The sequence below is a fragment of the Homo sapiens genome, chromosome X, assembly GCF_000001405.40.
Source record: "Homo sapiens chromosome X, GRCh38.p14 Primary Assembly".
NCBI lineage: Eukaryota > Metazoa > Chordata > Mammalia > Primates > Hominidae > Homo > Homo sapiens.
The window spans coordinates 1,444,579-1,468,235 of NC_000023.11; the positions used below are offsets into that span (position 1 = coordinate 1,444,579).

The 23,657-nt window shown below is 51.5% G+C and overlaps 2 protein-coding genes across 12 annotated transcripts in view, besides 1 other annotated feature; both read right to left on the bottom strand.

Moving 5' to 3' along the window:
- Positions 1-9,178, bottom strand: part of ASMTL (acetylserotonin O-methyltransferase like) — a 50,618-nt gene extending 41,440 nt beyond the window's left edge. For 2 of the 3 annotated variants that reach the window (NM_001173474.2, NM_004192.4), the window contains exon 1: positions 8,170-8,331. In NM_001173474.2, the coding sequence (NP_001166945.1) occupies positions 8,170-8,262 (93 nt within the window). In that variant the 5' untranslated portion in view covers positions 8,263-8,331. Of the gene's footprint in view, positions 1-8,169; positions 8,332-9,039 lie in introns of those variants that run through there. The other variant, NM_001173473.2, reaches the window with a different exon arrangement.
- P2RY8 (P2Y receptor family member 8) overlaps positions 18,003-23,657 on the bottom strand; it is a 74,605-nt gene continuing 68,950 nt past the window's right edge. For 8 of the 9 annotated variants that reach the window (NM_178129.5, NM_001424186.1, NM_001424188.1 and 5 more), the window contains one exon: positions 18,003-22,004. In NM_178129.5, coding sequence (NP_835230.1) covers positions 20,901-21,980 — 1,080 coding nt within the window. In that variant the 5' untranslated portion in view covers positions 21,981-22,004 and the 3' untranslated portion in view covers positions 18,003-20,900. Of the gene's footprint in view, positions 22,005-22,452; positions 22,641-23,657 lie in introns of those variants that run through there. The other variant, XM_005274429.4, reaches the window with a different exon arrangement.
- Positions 21,918-22,418: an enhancer, noted in NCBI's record as "H3K4me1 hESC enhancer chrX:1585389-1585889 (GRCh37/hg19 assembly coordinates)". NCBI's record gives its function as "activates a minimal SCP1, AML or CMV promoter by ChIP-STARR-seq in naive H9 embryonic stem cells {active_cell/tissue: H9 hESC(naive)}" and the evidence as "EXISTENCE:reporter gene assay evidence [ECO:0000049][PMID:30033119]".

Genomic DNA, 23,657 nt, shown 5'->3' on the forward strand with positions numbered 1-23,657 from the left:
GGACAGAGGCCCTTTTGCAACCCAGGATGCAGTGGGCAGGGGCAGCCTGTCCCGGGCTAACTCCTGGATCCTTTAGAGCCTCTGGCCCTCTGACCCTGTCCTTTCTCTCTCTCCCTCTTTGAGTGTTGGGAGTGGAGGTTCTCTTGCAACCCAGGAAGCTGTGGGCAGCAGCAGCTCATCCTGGGCTAACTCCTGGATCGTGAGGGTCTCTGGCCACCCCTCCCATCTTTTCTCTCCATTCACCTTCCAAGCAATTTGTGTGAGGAAGACAACTCATGTAAAGGGGACTTAGAGGCTCAAGCTGGAGGGTTCTCAAAACCCTCAGGTCTCAGAAATCCACCTCTGACCCCCTGCAACAGGTATTTCGCTCCCTAACCCTTGCTTCGTCTTCCTCTCTCTTCGTCCGTCTTCTTCCCTCTTCTCTCTCTCTCTCTGTCTTCCCTGCGCGGCTCCAGTTTGGGAGCCCCTTTGCCAATTCCAACAGGAACATCCAACATCAGACACAAATCCAGCCGTCTGGTAAGATCTGCCCTCCTCTGACTTTTGGTACCCAGGAAAAGTCAGGTCGGCCATCCCAGTCCTCGGAGGACCAGCGGCACTAAGCTAGAAGCGATCTTGAGGGATGCCCAGTATCTTCTCAGCTTGGCCGTCCTCCTTATAAAGAGGATTCTGGGTCTCTGTCTTTTGTCTGGGGTTGCCTAAAACACAAACAGACACTCTCGGCTTCCTTTTACCAGCCCACGTGGGTGCCAAACAACCCGACATTCCTATGTCCTCCTCTCTGGGATGTCTCCTTTCCAACCTGGCCAAACTTGGCTTACAGAGGAACCTAAAGCCAGAGTGTTGAATTTTTTATTGCAATAGTCTGGCATCAATACAAACTACATAATGACAGCAGATGGCCCGAACATAGCACCTTTAACTTGCAAATTCTCAGGGACCTTGACAACTTTATCACCAGGAAATGGCAAGAGGTTCCCTATACTCAGGCTATCTTCTACCCTCCCTATGTCAAGTTGCACCTCTCATTGTGGGCGGCAAGACACCCAGGTGCTGAGGCAAGAGACCGAGGACACGAGCTCTTCCGGTATATGATAAAATATAAAACGAGAAAGTTATACCAGATATAGATCTTAGATATGGTTATATATGAATATCATTAATCATTAGTTGGTAGTAATTACTCTTTATACCAATCTTATAATAATCCTTGCTCTAGAATCATAATGTAGGAAAAGCCAGGCCATACAGAGATAGGAGCTGAGGGGACATGGTGAGGTGCGACCAGAAGACGAGCGCGAGCCTTCTGTTATGCCCAGACGGGGTCACCAAAGGGAGTCTCCCTTTCCCTGGGGGGGTTTAGAGAAGACTCTGCTCCTCCACCTCCTGTGGAGGACCTGACATCAGTCAGACCCGCCCGCAGTTATCCGGAGGCCTAACCCTCTCCCTGTGGTGCTTTGCTTCAGTGGTCACACGCTCCTAGTCCGCCTTCATGTTCCATCCTGTACACCTGGCTCTGCCTTTAGTTAGCAGGAGCAAATTAGTGAAAGTACTAAAAGTGTCTGATAAGCAGAAATAATGGCGTAAGCTGTTTCTCTCCTTCTCCTCTCTCTCTCTGCCTCGGCGGCCAGGCAGGGAAGGGCCCCCTGTCCAGTGGACACGTGACTCACGTGACCTTACCTATCATTGGAGATGGCTCACACTCCTTACCCTGCTCCTTTGTCTTGTATCCAATAAATATCAGCGCAGCCTGGCATTCGGGACCACCACCAGTCTCCGCGTCTTGGTGGTAGTGGTCCCCCGGGCCCAGCTGCCTTTTCTTTTATCTCTTTGTCTTGTGTCTTTATTTCTACACTCTCATGCCTCCGCACACAGGGAGAGATCCACTGACCCTGTGGGGCTGGTCCCTACATCTCATGACATTTTTTTTTTTTTTTTTGAGACGGAGTCTTGCTCTGTCGCCCAGGCTGGAGTGCAGTGGTGCCATCTCGGTTCACTGCAACCTCTGCCTCCCAGGTTCAAGCGATTCTCCTGCCTCAGCCTCCCAAGTAGCTGGGACTGCAGGCGCCCGCCACCACGCCCGGCTAATTTTTTGTAATTTTAGTAGAGACGGGGTTTCACCATGTTAGCCAGGATGGTCTCGATCTCCTGACCTCGTGATCCGCCAACCTCGGCCTCCCAAACTGCTGGGATTACAGGCATGAGCCACCATGCCCAGCCCATAATTTGTCTTTTAATAAAAGTGGGAAAACTGGAAAAAGAAAAATCGTGTTTGAAAAACTATAGTTACCCCTGTCGTGAAATTCTAGTCTTGCCTAATGGTTTTCAGTTTTTATTCTTTTCTACGGTTTGAATTAAATTCTAATTTTTCTGGCTACATGTCTCCAAGATAATGTTTTGCATTCTTTTCCTTTTTCTTTTTCTCCAATTTTTCCTAACTGAAAACCTCTGAAACCCAAGTTCTGCTTTCTTAAAGCCCTGTGAACTAAAAGCTAGATGTTTCAACGGGTGCTGCTTGGAAGGCCCCTAAAGAGTGCTACCAGGAACAAATCAACCTCTTCCCCTCCAGGGCTGTGTTTGGTGACCCGTAATAACCACCTCCCTCAGCAGGAAGTGGCCAGAAAGAACACACCACCCCTCGTCCTGTTATAACTAGAGGGTCTGGATTCACAGAGCAGGAGCATTGCCATCTTCGACACACACTGCCATCTTGGACCCATTACACCATCTTGGACACACACCGCCATCTTGGATAAGCACCACCATCTTGGACACACAACATCTTGGACACACATGGCCATCTTGGAGAAGCACCACCATCTTGGACACACACTGCCATCTTGGATAAGCACCACCATCTTGGACACACACCATCTTGGACACACACGGCCATGTTGGAGAAGCACCACCATCTTGGACACACACCGCCATCTGGGAGAAGCACCACCATCTTGGACACACACCATCTTGGACACACACGGCCATCTTGGATAAGCACCACCATCTTGGAGACACACCATCTTGGACACACACCGCCATCTTGGATAAGCACCACCATCTTGGAGACACACCATCTTGGACACACACCGCCATCTTGGAGAAGCACCACCATCTTGGACACACACCATCTTGGACAAGCACTGCCATCTTGGACATGCATGGCCATCTTTGACACACACCACCATCTTGGACACACACCGCCATCTTGGATAAGCACCACCATCTTGGACACACACAGCTATCTTGGATAAGCACTACCATCTTGGACACACACCATCTGGGACACACACTGCCATCTTGGACCCATAACACCATCTTGGACAAGCACCGCCATCTTGGACACACCGCCATCTTGGATACACAACACCATCTTGGAAAAGCACCACCATCTTGGACACACACCGCCATCTTGGATAAGAACCACCATCTTGGACACACACCATCTTGGACACACACCGCCATCTTGGATAAGAACCACCATCTTGGACACACACCATCTTGGACACACACAGCCATCTTGGATAAGCACCACCATCTTGGACACACACCATCTTGGACACACACCGCCATCTTGGATAAGCACCACCATCTTGGACACACACCGCCATCTTGGATAAGCACCACCATCTTGGACACACACCATCTTGGACACACACTGCCATCTTGGATAAGCACCACCATCTTGGACACACAACATCTTGGACACACACCGCCATCTTGGATAAGCACCACCATCTTGGACACACACCATCTGGGACACACACTGCCATCTTGGACCCATAACACCATCTTGGACAAGCACCACCATCTTGGACACACCGCCATCTTGGACACGCCACCATCTTGGATACACACCACCATCTTGGAAAAGCACCACCATCTTGGACACACAACATCTTGGACACACACTGCCATCTTGGATAAGCACCACCATCTTGGACACATGCCGCCATCTTGGACACACACTGCCATCTTGGATAAGCACCACCATCTTGGACACACACCATCTTGGACACACACGGCCATCTTGGATAAGCACCACCATCTTGGACACACACCGCCATCTTGGATAAGCACCACCATCTTGGAGACACACCATCTTGGACACACACTGCCATCTTGGAGAAGCACCACCATCTTGGACACACACCATCTGGGACACACACCACCATCTTGGATAAGCACCACCATCTTGGACACACACCGCCATCTTGGATAAGCACCACCATCTTGGACAAGCACTGCCATCTTGGACATGCATGGTCATCTTTGACACACACCACCATCTTGGACACACACCGCCATCTTGGACAAGCATTGCCATTTTAAGTTCCCGTGATTAAAAACTGCCTAAAACCAGCCCCAAAACATCAGCCTAATGGCTAATGTCAGCATGACCAGAAACAGTCAAAGCCTGAAATAAACCGCCTCTGACCAGAAACATCCCAAGCCCAAGATAACCTCCTTCAGACCAGAGACATTCTAACACCTCAGTCAACTTTGCCTCACAGGGAAACATTCCGAGCCTGCGATAAGATTCCCCTTCCTAAACCCTTAAATACCCTTAGTCTGTAAGAGAGAACACTCCTGACCTAACTCAGCCAGAAGCCCCGCTCAGGCTTGTTCTCCAAAATAAACCCGTCTTTGACTGTGAAGCTGCTTTTCTTTTTTCGTCTTTCTTCCACTCTTCTACACTCCTCAGCGCTCCTCACCTCTTGAAGGTGCCCCCAGATCCTGGCCCTGACGCCCATCCTGGTCTTCAGGGCACCAGTCACCAAGCCCTGGACCTGCCCTGCAGATCTCAACCCCAGATCATATAGACCCCTGCCCTATGCCCTGTCACCCCCAATCATGGAGACCCATGCCTTCTGTGAGGCACCCTGACCACTCTCATCCCCGTCACTAGGACCAGGCATGTGGTGTCCCCCCTCCCAGGGTACCAGACCTCCAGTCCGTAGTCCCCAAGAGTAGACTCCTGCCCCACTGCACCATCCATAGGCAACCAGTAACTACCCTACCATCACCAGTAACTTCTCTGCCATCACCAGTAACTACCTCACATCACCAGTAACTACCCCCCATCACCAGTAACTATGCCCCATCATCAAACCCAGTAACTACCCCCCATCACCAGTAACTATCCACCATCACCAGTAACTATCCCCCATCACCAGTAACTATGCCCCATCATCACCAGTAACTATCCCCCCATCACCAGTAACTATCTCCCATCAACAGTAACTATCCTCCCATCACCAGTAACTATCCCCACATCACCAGTAACTACCCCCATCACCAATAACTATGCCCCATCATCAAACCCAGTAACTATCCCACCATCACCAGTAACTAACCCCCACCACCAGTAAATATGCCCCATCATCACCAGTAACTATCCCTCATCACCGGTAACTACGCCCCATCACCAGTAACTATCTCCCATCACCAGTAACTATCCCCCATCACCAGTAACTATCCTTCCATCACCAGTAACTATGCCCCCATCACCAGTAACTATCCCATCACCAGTAACTATCACCCCATTACCAGTAACTATCCCACATCACCTATAACTATCCGCCTGTCACCAGTAACTACCCCCCATCACAAGTAACTATCCCTTCATCACTAGACCGTCTCCTCCATGTGATTAGGGCTCCAGAGAGAGGCAGACACCCACTACCTAGGCGTCCTACCACCCGGAATAAGATCCTCATGGGGGCACCAGGAAACACTTCCCATACCCCAGCTACAAAGTCCAACCATCAGTCACAGGGCCCACTCCATCCCTAGAAGTCCTGAGTCACTCACCTCCCCAATCCCTAGGGGTCCCAGGTCACTCCCCTCCCCCACCCCTAGGGGGTCCCGGGTTACTCTCCCCTCCCCCATTCCTAGGGGTCTTGGATTACTCTCCCCTCCCTTATCCCTAGGAGGTCCTGGATCACACTCCCCTCCCCCATCACTAGGGCATCCTGGGTCACTCTCCCCTCCCCCATCCCTAGGGGCTCTGGGTCACTCTCCCCTCCCCCATCCCTAGGGGTTCTGGGTCACTCTCCCCTCCCCCATCCCTAGGGGTTCTGGGTCACTCTCCCCTCCCCCATCCCTAGGGGGTTCCGGGTCACACTCCCCAACCCCATCCCTAGGGGTTCTGGGTTACTCTCCCCTCCCCCATCCCTAGGGTTCCCGGGTTACTCTCCCCTCCCCCAACCCTAGGGGTCCCAGGTTACTTTCCCCACCCACATCCCTAGGCGGTACTGGATCACTCTCCCCTCCCCCATCCCTAGGGGTCCCGGGTCACTCTGCCCTCCCCCATCCCTATGGGTCCCGGGTCACTCTGCCCTCCCCATTCCTAGGGGGTCCTGGCTCACTCTCCCCTCCCCCATCCCTAGGGGTCCTGGGTTATTCTCCCCTCCCCCATCCCTAGGGGTCCCGGGTCACTCTGCTTTCTCCATTCCTAGGGGGTCCTGGGTCACTCTCCCCTCCCCCATACCTAGGGATTCCGGATCACTCTCCCCTCCCCCATCCCTAGGCGGTCCTGGATCACTCTCCCCTCCCCATTCCTAGGGGGTCCTGGGACACTCCTCCCTCCCCATCCCTAGGGGGTCCTGGGACACTCCTCCCTCCCCATCCCTAAGGGGGTCCCAGGTCACTCTCCCCAACCCCATGCCTAGGGCGTCCTGGGTTACTCTCCCCACCCCCATCCCTAGGGGGTCCTGGGTTACTCTCCCCTTCCCCATCCCTAGGTGGTCCTGGGTCACTCTCCCCTCCCCATTCCTTGGGGGTCCCGGGTCACCCTTCCCTCCCCCATCCCTAGGGGGTCCTGGGTCACTCTCCCCAACCCCATGCCTAGGGGTTCCAGGTCACTCTCCCCTCCCTCATCCTTTTGGGTCCCGGGTTACTCTCCCTACCCCCATCCCTAGGGGGATCCCGGCTTACTCTCCCCTCCCCCATCCCTAGGGGGTCCCAGGTTACTCTCCCATCCCCATTCCTAGGGGGTTCTGGGTCACTCCCTGCAACCCCATGCCTAGGGGTTTCGGGTCACTCTCCCCACCCCCATCCCTAGGGGGGTCCCGGGTCACTTGACCTCCCCATTCCTAGGGGTCCCGGGTTACTCTCCTCTCCCCCATCCCTAGGGGTCCCGGGTTACTCTCCCCACCCCCATCCCTAGGGGGGTCTCGGCTTACTCTCCCTATCCCCAACCCTGGAGGTCCCGGGTTACTCTCCCCATCCCCATGCCTGGGGGTCCCGGGTTACTCTCCCCATCCCCATCCATGGGGCTCCGGGGTCACTCTGCTGTCCCCATCCCTAGCGGTCCTGGGTCACTCCTCCCTCCCCATCCCTAGGGGGTCCCGGGTCACTCTCCCCAACCACATGCCTAGGGCGTCCTGGGTTACTCTCCCCACCCCCATCGCTAGGGGGTCCCAGGTTACAGGTTACTCTCTCCAACCCCATCCCTAAGGTGTCCCGGGTTTCTCTCCCCTCCCCCACCCCTAGGGGGGTCCCGGGTTACTCTCCCCTCCCCCATCCCTAGGGGGTCCTGGGTCACTCTCCCCAACCCCATCCCTAGGGGTCCCGGGTTATTCTCCCCAACCCCATTCCTGGGGGTCTCGGCTTACTCTCCCCATCCCCATGCCTGGGGGTCCCGGGTTACTCTCCTCTCCCCCATCCCTAGGGGTCCCGGGTTACTCCCCCACCCCCATCCCTAGGGGGGGTCTCGGCTTACTCTCCCCATCCCCAACCCTGGAGGTCCCGGGTTACTCTCCCCATCCCCATGCCTGGGGGTCCCGGGTTACTCTCCTCATCCCCATCCATGGGGCTCCGGGGTCACTCTGCTGTCCCCATCCCTAGCGGTCCTGGGTCACTCTACCCTCCCCATTCCTAGGGGTCCCGGGTTACGATCCCCTCCCCCATCCCTATGGGGACCCAGGTCACTCCCCACCCCCATGCCTAGGGGGTTCCGGGTTACTCTCCCCTCCCCCATCCCTAGAGGTTCCGGGTCACTCTCCCCAACCCTATCCCTGGAGGTCCCGGGACACTCTCCCCTCCCCCATCCCTAAGGGTCTCGGGTCACTCTCCCATCCCTATCCCTAGAGTTCCTGAGTCGCTGGGCCCTCCGGGGTTCAGCCCCTCCGTCCCCGGTCCCCTGCCCCGCCCAGGCCCAGGCCGTACCGCGTTGCTGAGGATCTCCTGACGGCGTGGGGAGGCGCTGGCCAGCACCACGCGCTTGTGCAGCAGCTTCCCAATCACCGGGCACAGCACCATGGCGTCCACGCCGGGAGCCGGGCGTCCGCACTTCTGAGCCCGGAGCCCGCGGTGCGCGCAGCGCGGCTGCAAAAAAAACAGGCGGCCAGAGTCCCGCCTCCGCGAGGCCACGCCCCCGCCCGCCTCCGCGAGGCCACGCCCAGTCCGCGCCTTCAGTGGCCTCCCCGCGAGACCGCGCCCAGGCCACGCCTCCATTGAACACTCCGTCAGGCCTCGCCCAGGCCACACCTCCATTGCCCTCTCCACCAGGCCACGCCCATGTCACGCCCCATTGATCTCCCCTGAGACCACGCCCAGACCACGCCTCCATTGCCCTCTCCGTCAGGCCACGCCCAGGCCACACCTCCATTGCCCTCTCCGCCAGGCCACGCCCATGTCACGCCGCCATTGACCGCTCCGCCAGGCCACGCCCAGGCCACACCTCCTTGCCCTCTCCGCCAGGCCACGCCCATGCCACGCCGCCATTGAGCTCCCCGTGAGGCCACGCCCAGGCCACACCCCCGCCCGCCTCCCCCCCGGGCACCGCCCCGGCCGCTTGGTGAAGCACCGCCCCCAGCTCCGCCTCCCGGGCCCCGTCCCCGCCCCCGGCGCTCGCCCCGCCCCTCCCCACCCCGCCTGCGGCGCCAAGACCTGCAATGGCGCAGGCAGCTGCGGGGTCCCGGGGAGGAAAGGCTGGCGTGGATACTTGGGGTTCCTTGCAGGCGCGGCGTGGGGAGTGGAAATGCTGGGTTTCCGCAGCTGCGGTTGTGGGCAGTTGTGGGGGTGGGGGGTTCTTACCCGCACGTGGAGGGGCCCGGCGCAGAGATGGGGGTCTTGTGGGAGCCGCGTCGGGGAAGGTAGAGATAGGGGGTTCCCCGCGGACCCGGTGCGAGTGGCGTGGGGATGGGGATGTCCTCGTGCCTGGTGGGAGGGGAGTGGAGATGGGGGTGTCCACGGGCCTGGTGGGAGGGGCGTGGAGATGGGGGTGTCCACGGGCCTGGTGGGAGGGGCGTGGAGATGGGGGTGTCCACGGGCCTGGTGGGAGGGGCGTGGAGATGGGGGTGTCCACGGGCCTGGTGGGAGGGGCGTGGAGATGGGGGTGTCCACGGGCCTGGTGGGAGGGGCGTGGAGATGGGGGTGTCCACGGGCCTGGTGGGAGGGGCGTGGAGATGGGGATCCCCGCGGGGATGGTGGGAGGGGTTTGGAGATGAGGGTCCCCGCGAGAATGCTCGGAGGGGTATGGATATGGGGGTCCCCGCGGGCCGGGTGGGAAGGGCGGGGAGATGGGTGGGGGGGGGGTCCCCGCGTGCCTGGTGGGAGGGGCGTGGAGAAGGTGGGGGTCCTTGTGGGAGGGGCGTGGACACTGGGGATCCGCGCGGGCGTGGTGATGGGCGCGGCGTGGGGACCCCCTGGGGGCGCGGTGCTGGGGGCGCAGGGATGGGACCAGGGCGGGCGCTGTGAGGTGGGGGACGCCCGGCTGTGCCTTCCCTCCCTAAACGGAGCCCACCTCCAGGGCAGCGGGTCCCTTGCGCGCCGCAGGCTGCAGGGGGCGCGCGTGAGCTGTGCGAGGATTTTTCTTAAACCCCAGAGCCCAGCCGCACCTGCTCCACATAAACCCAGCGTGGCGTGGAGACTCCGGGCACTGTTTCCCCAGCCTTTGTGACTCAAAAGATTTTAAAATAAAATGTCAAAAATAATAATATACCCAGAGCCTATGCCAGTGATGTGTAGATGCAGAAAATGGAATCCTACAGTTAATTTTGTTAACTGTGGAATGACATCCGAGGGTGTCCAACACATTACGGAGAAAACGAAAAACTGTAGTCAGAGAAGTCACAGAAGAGCCAAATAAAAGAGAGGAAAAAAGCATCTAAACCATGTGATGTCTGATTTTCAATATTGTGAGTTTTTGAAAAAAAATTTTAAAAAGCACATAGATTCACATTTCAGAATTTTGGAGAAGTAACTTTCTTCGTTTTGAAGCGATAGAAGGAATCATAAGTTTATAAACTGTACTGCATATAACATAAACTCCATGCAGGTGAAGGTTTTTGTTTGTTTGTTTCTTTCTTTTCTGTTTGTTTCTTTCTTTGTTTTTTGAGACCGAGTCTCACTGTGTCGCCCAGGCTGGAGTGCAATGGTGCAATCTCGGCTCACTGCAACCTCCGCCTCCCAGGTTCAAGCGATTCTCCTGCCTCAGCCTCCTGAGTAGCTAGGATTACAGGCACCTGCCATCACATCGAGCTAATTTTTGTACTTTTAATAGAGATGGGGTTTCGCTGTGTTGGCCAGGCTGGTCTCGAAGTCCTGACCTCAGGTGATCCACCCGACTCAGCCTCCCAAAGTGCTGGGATTACAGGTGTGAGCCACCGGGCCCAGCTGCGGGTGAGATATTAAACATAAAGAAAAATAGCAAAGGAAATTACAGTAATTCTCTATAGAAGATGAAGTGAAGGCTGCCTCTTCCTACACGGGTACAGGCAAAGCTGGAGGGTTTAGTGACCTACAGTGGGGGTTGCTGGTAACTGTCACTCAAAACCCTGGGGCTTAAAACAGCAAAACTTAATTGTATTACAGCTCTGGAGCCCAGACATCTGAAATCAAGGAATAGGCAGGGCCACGCTCCCTCCGAAGGCTCTAGGGGAGGGTCCTTCCTGCCTCTCCCGCTCCTGGGGGCTCCAGGCATCCCTGGGCTTGTGGCCGCATCACTCTAGTCTCTGCCTCCGTCTCTACGTGGGTTTCTCTGTGTCTGTGTCTCCTCTTCTGTCTCTTACAAGGACACCTGTCATTGTGTTTAGGGCCCGTCCTTCTCCAGGATGATCTCATCTCCAGATTGTTAATCATATCTGCAAAGATCCTTTTTCCAAATGAGGTCCCATTCCCAGGCTCTGGGGCTTAGGACATGGACATATGGTTTGGAGCTCACCATCTAAACCATTGCAATTGTGTTTGCTTCCTTCTGGAGGCTCTAGGGGAGGGTGCTTCCTGCCTCTTCCAGCTCCTGGGGGCTCCAGGCATCCCTGGGCTTGTGGCCGCATCACTGCAGTCTCTGCCTCCATCTCCACGTGGCCTTCTCCTCTGTGTCTGTGTCTCCTCTTCTGTCTCTTACAAGGACACCTGTCATTGGACTTAGGGTCCACCTTAATCCAGCATGATATCTTGAAATCATGAACTAATTGCACATGTGAGGACCCTATTTCCAAATAAGGTGCCATTCACCAGGTGGACATATCTATGGGGAGGCACGAATCAACTCAGTCCCCCATACCAGCATTCCAGAAGGAGTGCTAACCAGAGATGGGGTCCAGCAGCCTTTAACATGCCTGTATTTATCCCTATAAGTTCTCCATTACGGCCACATCATTGAAACCCCAGCAGGCAGAGGTTTAACTGCTCTGGAGCCCTGACTACTGCAGCCTCCTCCTGCTCTCAATGTGCCCTTCCGTGACTTTCAGATTTTTCTTTGCTTTTTTTTTTTTTTTTTAGACTGACTCTTGCTCTGTCGCCCAGACTGGAGTACAGTGGCACGATCTTGGCTCACTGCAACCTCCACCTCTCAGGTTCAAGTGGCTTTCCTGCCTCAGCCTCCCGAGTATCTGGGACCGCCACCACACCTGGCTAATTTTTTGTATTTTTTAGTAGAGATGGGGTTTCTCCATGTTTGCCAGGCTGGTCTTGAACTCCCGACCTCAGGTGATCCGCCCACTTCAGCCTCCCAAAATGCTGGAATTACAGGCATGAGCCACTGTGCCCAGCCAATGCCTGTTTTTTGTTTGTTTGTTTGTTTTGTTTTGTTTTGTTTGTTTGTTTTTGAGATGGAGTCTCGCTGTGTCACCCAGGCTGTAGTGCAGTGGCGCGATCTGGGCTCACTGCAAGCTCTGCCTCCTGGGTTCATGCCATTCTCCTGCCTCAGCCTCCCAAGTAGCTGGGACTACAGGCACCCGCCACCGCGCCCGGCTAATTTATTTTTCTATTTTTTAGTAGAGACAGGGTTTCACCATGTTAGCCAGGATGGTCTCGATCTCCTGACCTCATGATCTACCCACCTCGGCCTCCCAAAGTACTGGGATTACAGGTGTGAGCCACCGTGCCCGACCAATGCCTGTCGTTAATAAGCAACCCAGTCTATGGTATTCTGTGATAGCAGCCTGCAATGGACTAAGACATCTGATAAGAAGAGGAGAAGAGGAGCTGAAGACACAGACACACATGGAGGGACGACCCTGTGAGGACACAGGGAGAAGACAGCGTCTCCAAGCCCAGGAGAGAGGCCTCAGGAGGAGCCAGCCTTGCCCACACCTTGACCTCAGACCTCCAGCCTCCAGGACTGTGGAAGAATCGATGTCTGTTGTCTAAGCTGTACAGCGTACAGGACTTTGCTATGGCAACCCCAGCAAACTCATACACCCCGTCCCACCAGGCTGGGCTTCCATCCTTAATGTTCTGTTTTGCATTGAGCCAGCATTGCATGGTTGGAGGTTCAAAGATTCTCAAATGTGTGCATGTGTGTGGGTTTTGTGTAATTCAGTTGCCAGCAACTGAGGAGATCCTACCGTCCAGGAGACACCTGGCAATGTCTGAAGATATTTTTGGCCATCACGTCTGGAGGTGTGCGTGCAGTGCAGGGGTGCTGCTCCCATCTGGTGGGTGGAGCCCAGGGTCTCTGCTCAGCACCGTACAGTGCCCAGGATGGCCCCACCACAGAGAGTCCTCCAGCCCCAAATGTCAGCTGTGCTGAGGTGGGGGAACCCTGAGTCAGCATGAGAGGGTTTGTCTATCATCTATCTATGTATCCATGTTATCCATCATTTATCCAGCTATTCATCTGTCATGTATCCATCTATCTTGTCTATGTATCTATCACTCTTCCATCTATTTAGCCATAATATCTATGTATCTCTCTATCCATCTATGTATGTATGTATGTATCTATCTATCCATCTATGTATGTATGTATGTATGTATCTATCATCTATCTATCCATCTATGTATGTATGTATCTATCATCTATCAATCTATGTATCTATCCATCTGTCTATGTATGTATGTATCTGTCAATCTATCATCTATGTATCTATCCCTCTATGTATGTATGTATGTGTCTATCATCTATCAATCTATGTATCTATCCATCTGTCTATGTATGTATGTATCTGTCAAACTATCATCTATGTATCTATCCCTCTATGTATGTATGTATGTGTCTGTCTATCATCTATCAATCTATGTATCTATCCATCTGTCTATGTATGTATGTATCTGTCAATCTATCATCTATGTATCTATCCCTCTATGTATGTATGTATGTATCTGTCTATCATCTGTCTATCCATCTATCTATCTATGTATGTATCTGTCTATCATCTATCAATCTATCCATCTATGTATGTATCTGTCTATCATCTATCAATCTATCTATCCATCTATCTATCTATGTATGTGTCTGTCTATCATCTATCTATCCGTCTATGTATGTATCTGTCTACCTATCATCTATCTATCCATCTATGTATGTATCTATCATCTATCTATCCACCTATCTATGTATGCATCTATCATCTATCTATCCATCTATCTATGTATGTATGTATCTATCTATCCATCTATGTATGTATGTATCTATCATCTATCTATGTATCCATCTATGTATGTATGTATGTCTATCTATCATCTATCTATCTATCCATCTATGTGTGTATGTATCTGTCTATCATCTATCCATGTATCTATCCATCTGTATGTTTGTATGTATCTGTCTATCATCTATCTATCTATCTATCTATCTATCTATCTATCTATCTATCCATCTATGTATCTATCATTTGTCTATCATCTATCAATCTATCCATCTATGCATCTATCATTTGTCTATCATCTATCAATCTATCCATCTATGTATCTATGTATTATCATTTATCTATCATTCATCTGTCTATCTATCATTTATCAATCTATCATCTATGTATCTATCATCTATCATTAGATATATCATCTATCAATCTACCCATCTATCATCTATCTTTCTATCTATTCTACCTACCTATCATCTATCTATTGTATCTACCTACCTATCTCATCTATCATTTATCCCCTCCTTATGTTGTCTATGTATTTATTATCCATCTGTGTATCCGTTATCTACCTATCATCTATCTAGCTATCATCTATTATCTATCTATCCATCCATTCTGTTTATCTATGTATCCATCTATCATCTGTATAACTATCCATCTATTATCTATCTATCTAACTATCATCTATCTATCTATCTTCTATCCATCTACCCATCTTTCTATCTTTCCATCATCAATCTATTATCTATCTATCTTCTATCCATCTATCTTTCCATCATCAATCTGTTATCCATCTATCCATTTATCCATCATCTATATATTAATTTATCATCTATCAATCTATCATCTACCTATCATCCATCTATCTATCTATGTATGTATCTATCATCTATCTATGTAGCTATCCATCTATCTATGTATGTAGGTATCTATCATCTATCTATCTATCTATCTATCTATCTATCTATCTATGTATCTATCATCTATCTATGTATCCATCTATGTATGTATGTATATATCTGCCTATCTATCACCTACCTATGTATCTATCCATCTATCTATGTATGGATGTATCTGTCTATCATCTATCTATGTATGTATCTATCATCTGTCTATCTAGCCATCTATGTATGTATGTGTCTGTCTATCATCTATTTGTCTATGTAAGTATCTATCTGTCATCTATCTATCCATCTGTGTATATATGTATGTATCTGTCTATCATCTATCTATCCATCTATCTATGTATGTATGTATCTATCATCTATCTATCCACCTATGCATGTATCTATCATCTATCTATCCATCTATCTATGTATCTATGTATCTATCATCTATCTATCCATCTATCTATGTATGTGTCTATCATCTATCTATCCATCTATCTATGTATGTATCTGTCTATCTATCGTCTATGTATCCATCTATGTATGTATGTATCTATCACCTATGTATCCATCTATGTATGTATCTATCATCTATGTATGTATGTATGTATGTGTCTATCATCTATGTATGTATCTATCCATCTGTATGTATGTATGTATGTGTCTATCATCTATCTATATATCTATCTATCCATCTATGTATCTATGTATCTATCATTTGTATGTCTATCATCTATCAATCTATCCATCTATGTATTTAGTATTATCATTTATCTATCATTCATCTGTCTATCATCTATCAATCTATCATCTATGTATCTATCATCTATCATTAGATATATCATCTATCAATCTACCCATTTATCATCTATCTATTCTACCTACCTATCATCTATCTATTTATCTACCTATCTATCTCATCTATCATTTATCCCCTCCTTATGTTGTCTATGTATGTATTATCCATCTGTGTATCCATTATCTACCGATCATCTATCTAGCTATCATCTGTTATCTATCTATCCATCCATTCTGTTTATCTATGTATCCATCTATCTATCATCTGTATAACTATCCATCTATCATCTGTCTATCATCTATCTATCTATCATCTTCTATCCATCTACCCAACTTTCTATCTTTCCATCATCAATCTATTATCTATCTATCTTCTATCCATCTATCTATCCATCTGTCTATCTTTCCATCATCAATCTGTTATCCATCTATCTATCCATCTATCCATCATCTATATATTCATCTATCCATCTATCATCTATCATTCATCTATCTATCTATCTATCTATCTATCTATCTATCTATCTCTTATCACCCATTTATCAATCTATCATCTATCTACCTGTGTATGTACCTATCTATCCATCTATCATGTATCCATTTGTCTTTTTTTTTTTTGAGGCAGAGTCTCGCTCTGTCACCCAGACTGGAGTGCAGTGGCATGATCTCAGCTCACTGCAACCTCTGCCTCCTGGGTTCAAGCAATCCTCCTGCCTCAGCCTCCCTAGTAGCTGAGATTACAGGTGCCCGCCACCATGCCCGGCTAATTTTTGTGGTTTTAGTAGAGACGAGGTTTCACCATGTTGGCCAGGCTGGTCTTGAACTCCCGACCTCGTGATCCACCTGCCTCAGCCTCCCAAAGTGCTGAGATTACAGGCTTGAGCCACCACACCCGGCCCCAGCCTCTAGAACTGTGGCAAGCAATGTCTATTGTTTGTGAGCCACCCAGTTGATGGTTGCGATGGTTAATACCAAGAGTCAACGTGATTGGATTGAAGGATACAAAGTATTGATCCTGGGTGTGTCTGTGAGGGTGTTGCCAAAGGAGATGAACATTTGAGTCAGTGGACTGGGAAAGGCAGACCCCCCCCCCCTTAATCTGGGTGGGCATCATCTAATCAGCTGCCAACGAGGCTAGAATATAAGCAGGGAGAAAAATGTGAAAAGGAGAGACGGGCCTAGCTTCCCAGCCTCCATCTTTCTCCCATGCTGGATGCTTCCTGCCCTTGAACATCTGACTCCAAGTTCTTCAGTTTTGGGACTGGGATGGGTTCTCCTTGCTCCTCAGCCTGCAGACGGCCTATTGTGGGACCTCATGATCATGTGAGTTAATACTGAATCAACTTCCCTTTATTTATTTATTTATTTTTATTTATTTATTTTTGAGATTCACTCTGTCACCCAGGAAGTTTACTTAATAAACTTCCCTTTATTTATTTTTATTTATTTATTTTTGAGTTGCACTCTGTCACCCAGGCTGGAGGGCAGTGGTGCGATCTCGGCTCACTGCAAGCTCCACCTCCCGGGTTCAATCGATTCTCCTGCCTCAGCCTCCCGAGTAGCTGGGATTACAGGCATGCACCACCACACCCGGCTAATTTTTGTATTTTCAGTAGAGATGGGGTTTCACCATGTTGGTCAGGCTGGTCTCGAACTCCTGACCTCAGGTGATCCACCTGCCTCGGCCTCCCAAAGTGCTGGGATTACAGGTGTGAGCCACTGTGCCTGGCCTGAAACTCCTCTCTCTCTCTCTCAATCTCTCTCTCTCTCTCTCTCTCTATCTATCTAATATATCTACTATCTGATCTATCATCTATCTATCTATCTAATCTATCTATCTGATCTATCTATCTGATCTATCTACTATCTATCTATGTAATCTATCTACTGTCAATCTATCTATCTAATCTATCTACTATCTATCTAATCTATCTACTATCTACCTATCTATCTAATCTATCTACTATCTATCTATCTAATCTATCTACTATCTATCTAATCTATCTACTATCTATCTACTATCTAATCTATCCACTCTCTATCTACCTATCTAATCTATCTACTATCTATCTATCTAATCTATCTACTATCTATCTACCTATCTATCTAATCTATCTACTATCTATCTAATCTATCTACTATCTATCTATCTAATCTATCTACTATCCATCTATCTATCTACTATCTAATCTATCTACTATCTATCTATCTATCTAATCTATCTACTATCTATCTAATCTATCTTCTATCTGTCTGTCTGTCTGTCTGTCTATCTGTCTGTCTATCTATCTATCTATCTATCCTATTAGTTCTGTCCCTCTAGAGATCTCTGAGTAATGCAATGGTGTTTTGTTTGTTTGGTTTTTTGTTTGTTTCCAGCAGGATAAATGGACCAAGACAAGGAGCCTATGAAGAGGATAAGACATTGGATCCAGCATAAAATGGGATCTGTGTTTAAAATGCAAGCCCTGCAGAAATCAGAGACAGAAACACATTTGCCCTGTGCACTTCAAAGCTCATGTTTTTTTTTAATGTTTTATTTTTATTTTTTACAGAGATGAGTTCTCACTGTGTTGCCTAGGTTGGCCCTTGAACACCCGGACTCAATCAGTCCTCCCGCCTGAGCCTCCCAAAGTGCTGAGATTACCGGCATGAGCTGCCACGCCTTGATGGAGGCTGAGACTTTTTGGAATCCCTCCCTCTCTCCATGTCCTGCCAAGAACAGAAGTAAAGTTTTCCATCTTAAAACATGTGTGTGAGTCAATAGACCTGTGTTATCTTTTCACTCAAAGCTCAACCAGTGAACAGACTGAGTCAGCTTCCAGGAAACATCCACGGCTGTAAGAGGGGGTGTCGGCTGCTCTCCATAGCCAAGTGGCTGCAAAAATCATCATACTGACAAAAAAAAAAAATCGACGCATTTTGCCTGCTTGCAACGTCTTCCTTTGCTGGGGGACGTCAGGGTTCTCGCACGTTGTCGAGGAAGGATATTGTCTCGGCTTCCTCTGACTCAAGCTCTCATTTTTGTTTACAAGGCAGTTTAGGGATCGTCCGTGCGTTACTGTGAAGATGCTACTCTGAGGTTTTTCACAGTTTTTTTTCCCCCATGAGACACACCCAAGGCCCACGCTCAGCACTTGCGACCTGTACTCCTGCAGCCTGGATGCTTCTGTATCAGCTTTGCTTTCTAGGGTTCAGCTTTGGAACAGTCTAGAGAAGCAGGAGGTTAATTTTCCTCCTTCTGTGGAAGTTCTGGGTCTCTTACGCATCCTCCAGTTCCCCCTGGAGGCTCTAGGGGAGGATCCTTCCTGCCTCTCCCAGCTCCTGGGGGCTCCAGGTGTCCCTGGGCTTGTGGCCGCATCACTCCAGTCTGCCTCTGTCTCCACGTGTCCTCCTGCTCTGTGTCTGTGTCTCCTCTTCTGTCTCTTGGAAGGACACCTGTCATGGCATTTAGGGTGCTTAATAATCCAGCACAATCTCATCTTCATATCCTTAAGTAATTACACATGCAAAGTTCCTTATTACCGAATAAAATCTATAATAATTTCAGGTTCTGGGCTTTAAAACAAGACATGTCTTTCTGGGGCAACTGTTTAGTGCACTCTGCAATTGTATCCAGTTCCCTCCAGAGACTCTAGGGGAGGGTCCTTCCTGCCTCTCCCAGCTCCTGGGGACTCCAGGCATCCCTGGGCTTGGGGCAGCATCACTTCAGTCTCTGCCTCTGTCTTTATGTGGCCTCCTGCTTTGTGTCTGTGTCTCCTCTTCCGTCTCTCATAGGGACACTGGATTGGGCCCATTGTAAATGCAGTATGGCCTCGCCTTACTTAATTACATTTGGAAAGACCCGATTTTCAAACATGGTCCCATCCTGATGTTCCAGGTGGACACGGGTTTGGGAATGATAATTCATTACTAAACCATCTCTGTTTTCCTGCCATAGTGATGACGGCAGGAGAGAGGCACCAATAGAGGGCCTCCGAACAGCAGCTTCAGCCTCCATCAGCGTCCCCAGTGCACAGAAAGGGAGGGGCCGGGCATCCAAGGCCACCCACTGCGGAGACGCAGAGCCCGTGGGCAGACAGGCAGCTCTCCCACTCCCACCTCCAGAATGGTCTTTCTCGCCCAAGAGAGCCTGGGATCCAATTCCACGTGATGTCCCAGCACCCCTGGAGAGTCAGAGCTCTTCTTTGCGCTAAACCAGCTCAGGTGTTGGGGCTGGTGCAGGCACATGCCGTGTAGAAGAAGACAGACAAAGACCCAGCCTGCTCACCACCCACACAGCAGGGAGGGGGCTCAGCGGCTGACACCCCTGTAGGTTCCTGGGGTCCACACCTGCATCTGCTGCTTGGTCTCCAAACGGTCTCATGGGTCAGGCCAGTTGCCTGCTTCCTGGACTCCAGATGGACTTGCCATGGCTGAGGCTCTCCATGGGGTAAAAGGACGCGGAGAATGGGCAGGAGGTGGGGAACTCCCGAATCAAGCTGCACCCTTGTGTTGGGATGGGCTGGACCCCATCTCACGGAGCCTCCTTTCCGCACCTGGGCCTCCCGTGGTCCTTGTCCTGAGTCAGGGAAGCCTGAGTGTGTTCCAGGGGCCTGATGGGACCTCCTTCTCTATCAGGGACTCACAGAAGCAGAATAGGGGTGGGGTCCCACCAAGCCAGGCCAGAACAAATGTGCCAAAAATCACCTTGGTCAGCAACAGGGTGGGGTGTGTGTGTGGGGGGAAGTGGGCACGGAGAGTAGCTGACTTGCAGGAGCCCCAGGCGCTCCTCTGAAAGAAGAATTCCAACCACAGCAACCACAGTGCCCCTGAGTGAAATAAACAGAAATTTCGGCGTGCACCGGGCTACGGAGACCAGAACCCCTGGAGGAGAATGGAGAAGGCCAGAACCACAACTAAGGGACGATGTCAGCAGGGAGAAGAGCTGGGAATGGGGCTCGCAGTTCGCCCACGGAGGATATCCAGAAACCGAGTCGGGTAGGCGGTGGGGCTGGTTGAATATCCACCCTCGGGTATGGACAGGTGTGAGGAGTGTCTAAGGAGCTCGGGGGTGACAGCCCAGCTCTACTAAAAAAAATACAAAAATTAGCCGGGCGTGGTGACACAAGCTGTCCCCTGACACAGAGAGGCAGAGGCACCCTCTGCAGGATAACAAGCACCCTGTGCGCTGCTGGGCTTTGCTTGTTTCTCTACCCTGAGTGAAGCCTGGAGACCCTTCCTCACCGGTGCCTCTGCAGTGCCTGGGAGGAATAAAGCCTGGAGACCCTTCCCCACCGGGCCTCTGCAGTGCCTGGGAGCAACGCAGCTGTTCTCCCTGAACCTCTGGCACCGTGGCCTCTCCATGCGCCCCTGGATCTCCAAGCTGCGCCCCCGGCTCTCCAAGCTGCGCCCCCGGGACTCAGAACACACTCTCCTGCCTCTGGAGGCCGGGCCTGGTGGCTCCCTCCATCCCTTCAGGGTGCGCACCGGCCTCGGAGCGCACGGACGTGGTCCTGGCGGAGAAGAGGCTCTCGCGGCGCGTGTCCAGGGTGTCTCTGGGCACCCGGCGGCAGCCCAAATATTCCCGCAGGCGCAGCTGGAATTCCCGGGACGCAAAGTAATAAACAAACGGGTCCAGACAGTTGTTGAGGCAGCTGAGACACAGCGTGAGCTTGTACACGTGGTAGTAGCTCTTGCCGTAGAACAGGCGGCTCACGATGTGCGCCAGGAGCACGAAGTTGTTGGGGGCGAAGCAGGTGACAAAGGCCAGCAAGACCACCGCGGCCAGGCCCACCGCGCGCCTCCGCTGCTCCCGGCCGTGCGCCTCCTCCGTGCGCAACAGCTTGAGGATGGTGGCCGTGTAACAAGCCACGGTGATCACGAACGGGATGAGGAACAGCAGGATGAAGATGGTGAAGAGGAACACGGCCCACATGGCCACGCTGGGGAGCATCGTCCACTTGAGGACGTCGAAGCAGGTGATGATGCCCAGGGCGTGCACCGGGTAGGTGAGATCGGTGCGCGCCAGCGGGGACAGGGCGGTCAGGAGCAGCAGCCAGGTCCCTGCACACGCGGCCACCGCGTAACGACGGCGGCGCCAGCGCTTGGAGCTGAGCGGGTACAGGACCCCCAGGAAGCGCTCCACGCTGATACAGGTCATGGTGAGGATGCTGGAATACATGTTTGCGTAAAAGGCCACGGTCACCACGTTGCAAAGCAGCACCCCGAATACCCAGTGGTGGCGGTTGCAATGGTAGTAGATTTGGAAAGGCAACACGCTGGCCAGCATCAGGTCCGTGACGCTCAGGTTGATCATGAAGATGACCGACGGGGATCTGGGCCCCATGCGCCGGCACAGCACCCACAGAGAGAAGAGGTTGCCCGGGATGCTGACCGCCGCCACCAGCGAGTACACCACGGGCAGGGCCACCGCGATCGCCGGGTTCCGCAGCATCTGCAGCGTCGCGTTGTCCGGGCCGGTGCTGTTCGGGACCTGCATCCTGGAGGGGTCCTCGCCCGGGCTCTGCAAGGGAAGGAGGGAAGGGTGTACGGGTCAGGGGCGCAGGTAAAGAGGCGGCTGCCGGGAGGGCTCCTGAGCGCCGCTCCCCGGGGACCAAGGCGGGGGAGATGCTTTAGCAGGGCCTGCTGTCTCCTCCCTCCCTCCCTCCCTTAGTTCCTCCTTCCCTCTCCTCCTTCCTTCCCTCCCTCTCTGCCTCCTTTCTTCACCCTGTGTCATTCTTTTCTTCTTTCCTGTCTTCTCCCCTTTCTTCTTCCTTCCTCCTCTCTCCTTCCTTCTCTTCTTCCCTCCTTCCTTCCTTCCTTCCTTCCTTCCCGCCCTCCCTCCCTCCCGTCCTTCCTTGGATCAGGGAGGTCATTGGAGACCTCGGCCCACGTCAGAGGCTGAGACTCTTAGATGATCCACAGTGGGGCTGTGGCTCCCCTGGGCAGGTTGAATGCATTGTCATACAAACCTCAAGACTCAGTGTCCCCCGTGGACGGAAACCACAAAGCCACCGTCAGCCCCCAGGGTGGTCTTAATGGGAATTCTTGACACCCTGGCAGTATTAGTCTGGGTATGAGTCCTCTCATCTCAGGGGCATCCACCCACAAAGTGTCTATCAGCAGAAAACACACACTCCGAGTGCCAGGAGACCAACCCGCAGCCTCCAAAGTCTTTCCAGCTTTTAACACCCGCGTCAACCCACGGCTCCTCCCTGCTCTTTCTTCCTCCAGAGGAGACCTGCGACTTCTTACCAACTGCTCTACAAACAGCTTCCTCAAGCTGGCTTTAAAATGGCCCGGAGTTTTCGTTTCAGTTTCAGGGAGAAGTTTTCTGACCCGCCGGTCCGTGCCCAGGTGTGAAACCTACAGTTATGCACGAGTCAGCACCGCTCCCCACGGCCAGCTGGGCACCTCCAGCCACCTATGGCTTCAGGAGGAAAAGCAGACCCTTCCTTCTTTGGGTTCCGCTTGGTGTGGCCGTGGGGGACGTCTGGAAGGAGAGACGCTTTATCCATGAGCTGGTGATGAAAAAGTGTCTGTCAAAGGGACACTACTTTTATTTTGAGAATGTAAAGTGGACAGAGCTGGAAACAGGGGTGCCCTGGAATTGTTCTTTTGTTTGTTTGTTTTATAGATATGGGGTCTTGCCTTGTTGCCCAGGCTGGAGGGCAGTAGTGCAAACGTAACTCACTGCAGCCTCCAACGCCTGGCCTCAAGCAATCCTCCTGCCTCAGCCTCCTGAGTAGTTGGGACTACAGGTGAGAGTACAACCACGCCCAGCTAATATTTTTATTTTTTGTAGATACAGAGTTTTGCTATGTTTCCCAGGCTGGTCTCAAACTCCTGGCCTCAAGCAATCCTCCTGCCTCAGCCTCCTGAGTAGCTGGGACTACAGGTGACAGTACCTCCGTGCCCAGCTAACATTTTTATTTTTTATAGATACACAGTTTTGCTACATTTCCCAGGCTGGTCTCAAACTCCTGGCCTCAAGCAATCCTCCTGAGTACCTGGGACTGCAGGTGCATGCCACCCTGCCCAGCTAATATTTTTATTTTCTGTAGACATGGGGTTTGGCTATGTTGCCCAGGCTGGTCTCAAACTCCTGGCCTCAAGCAATCCTCCTGCCTCGGCCTCCCAAAGCATTGGGATTACAGGTGTGAGCAACACACCTGGG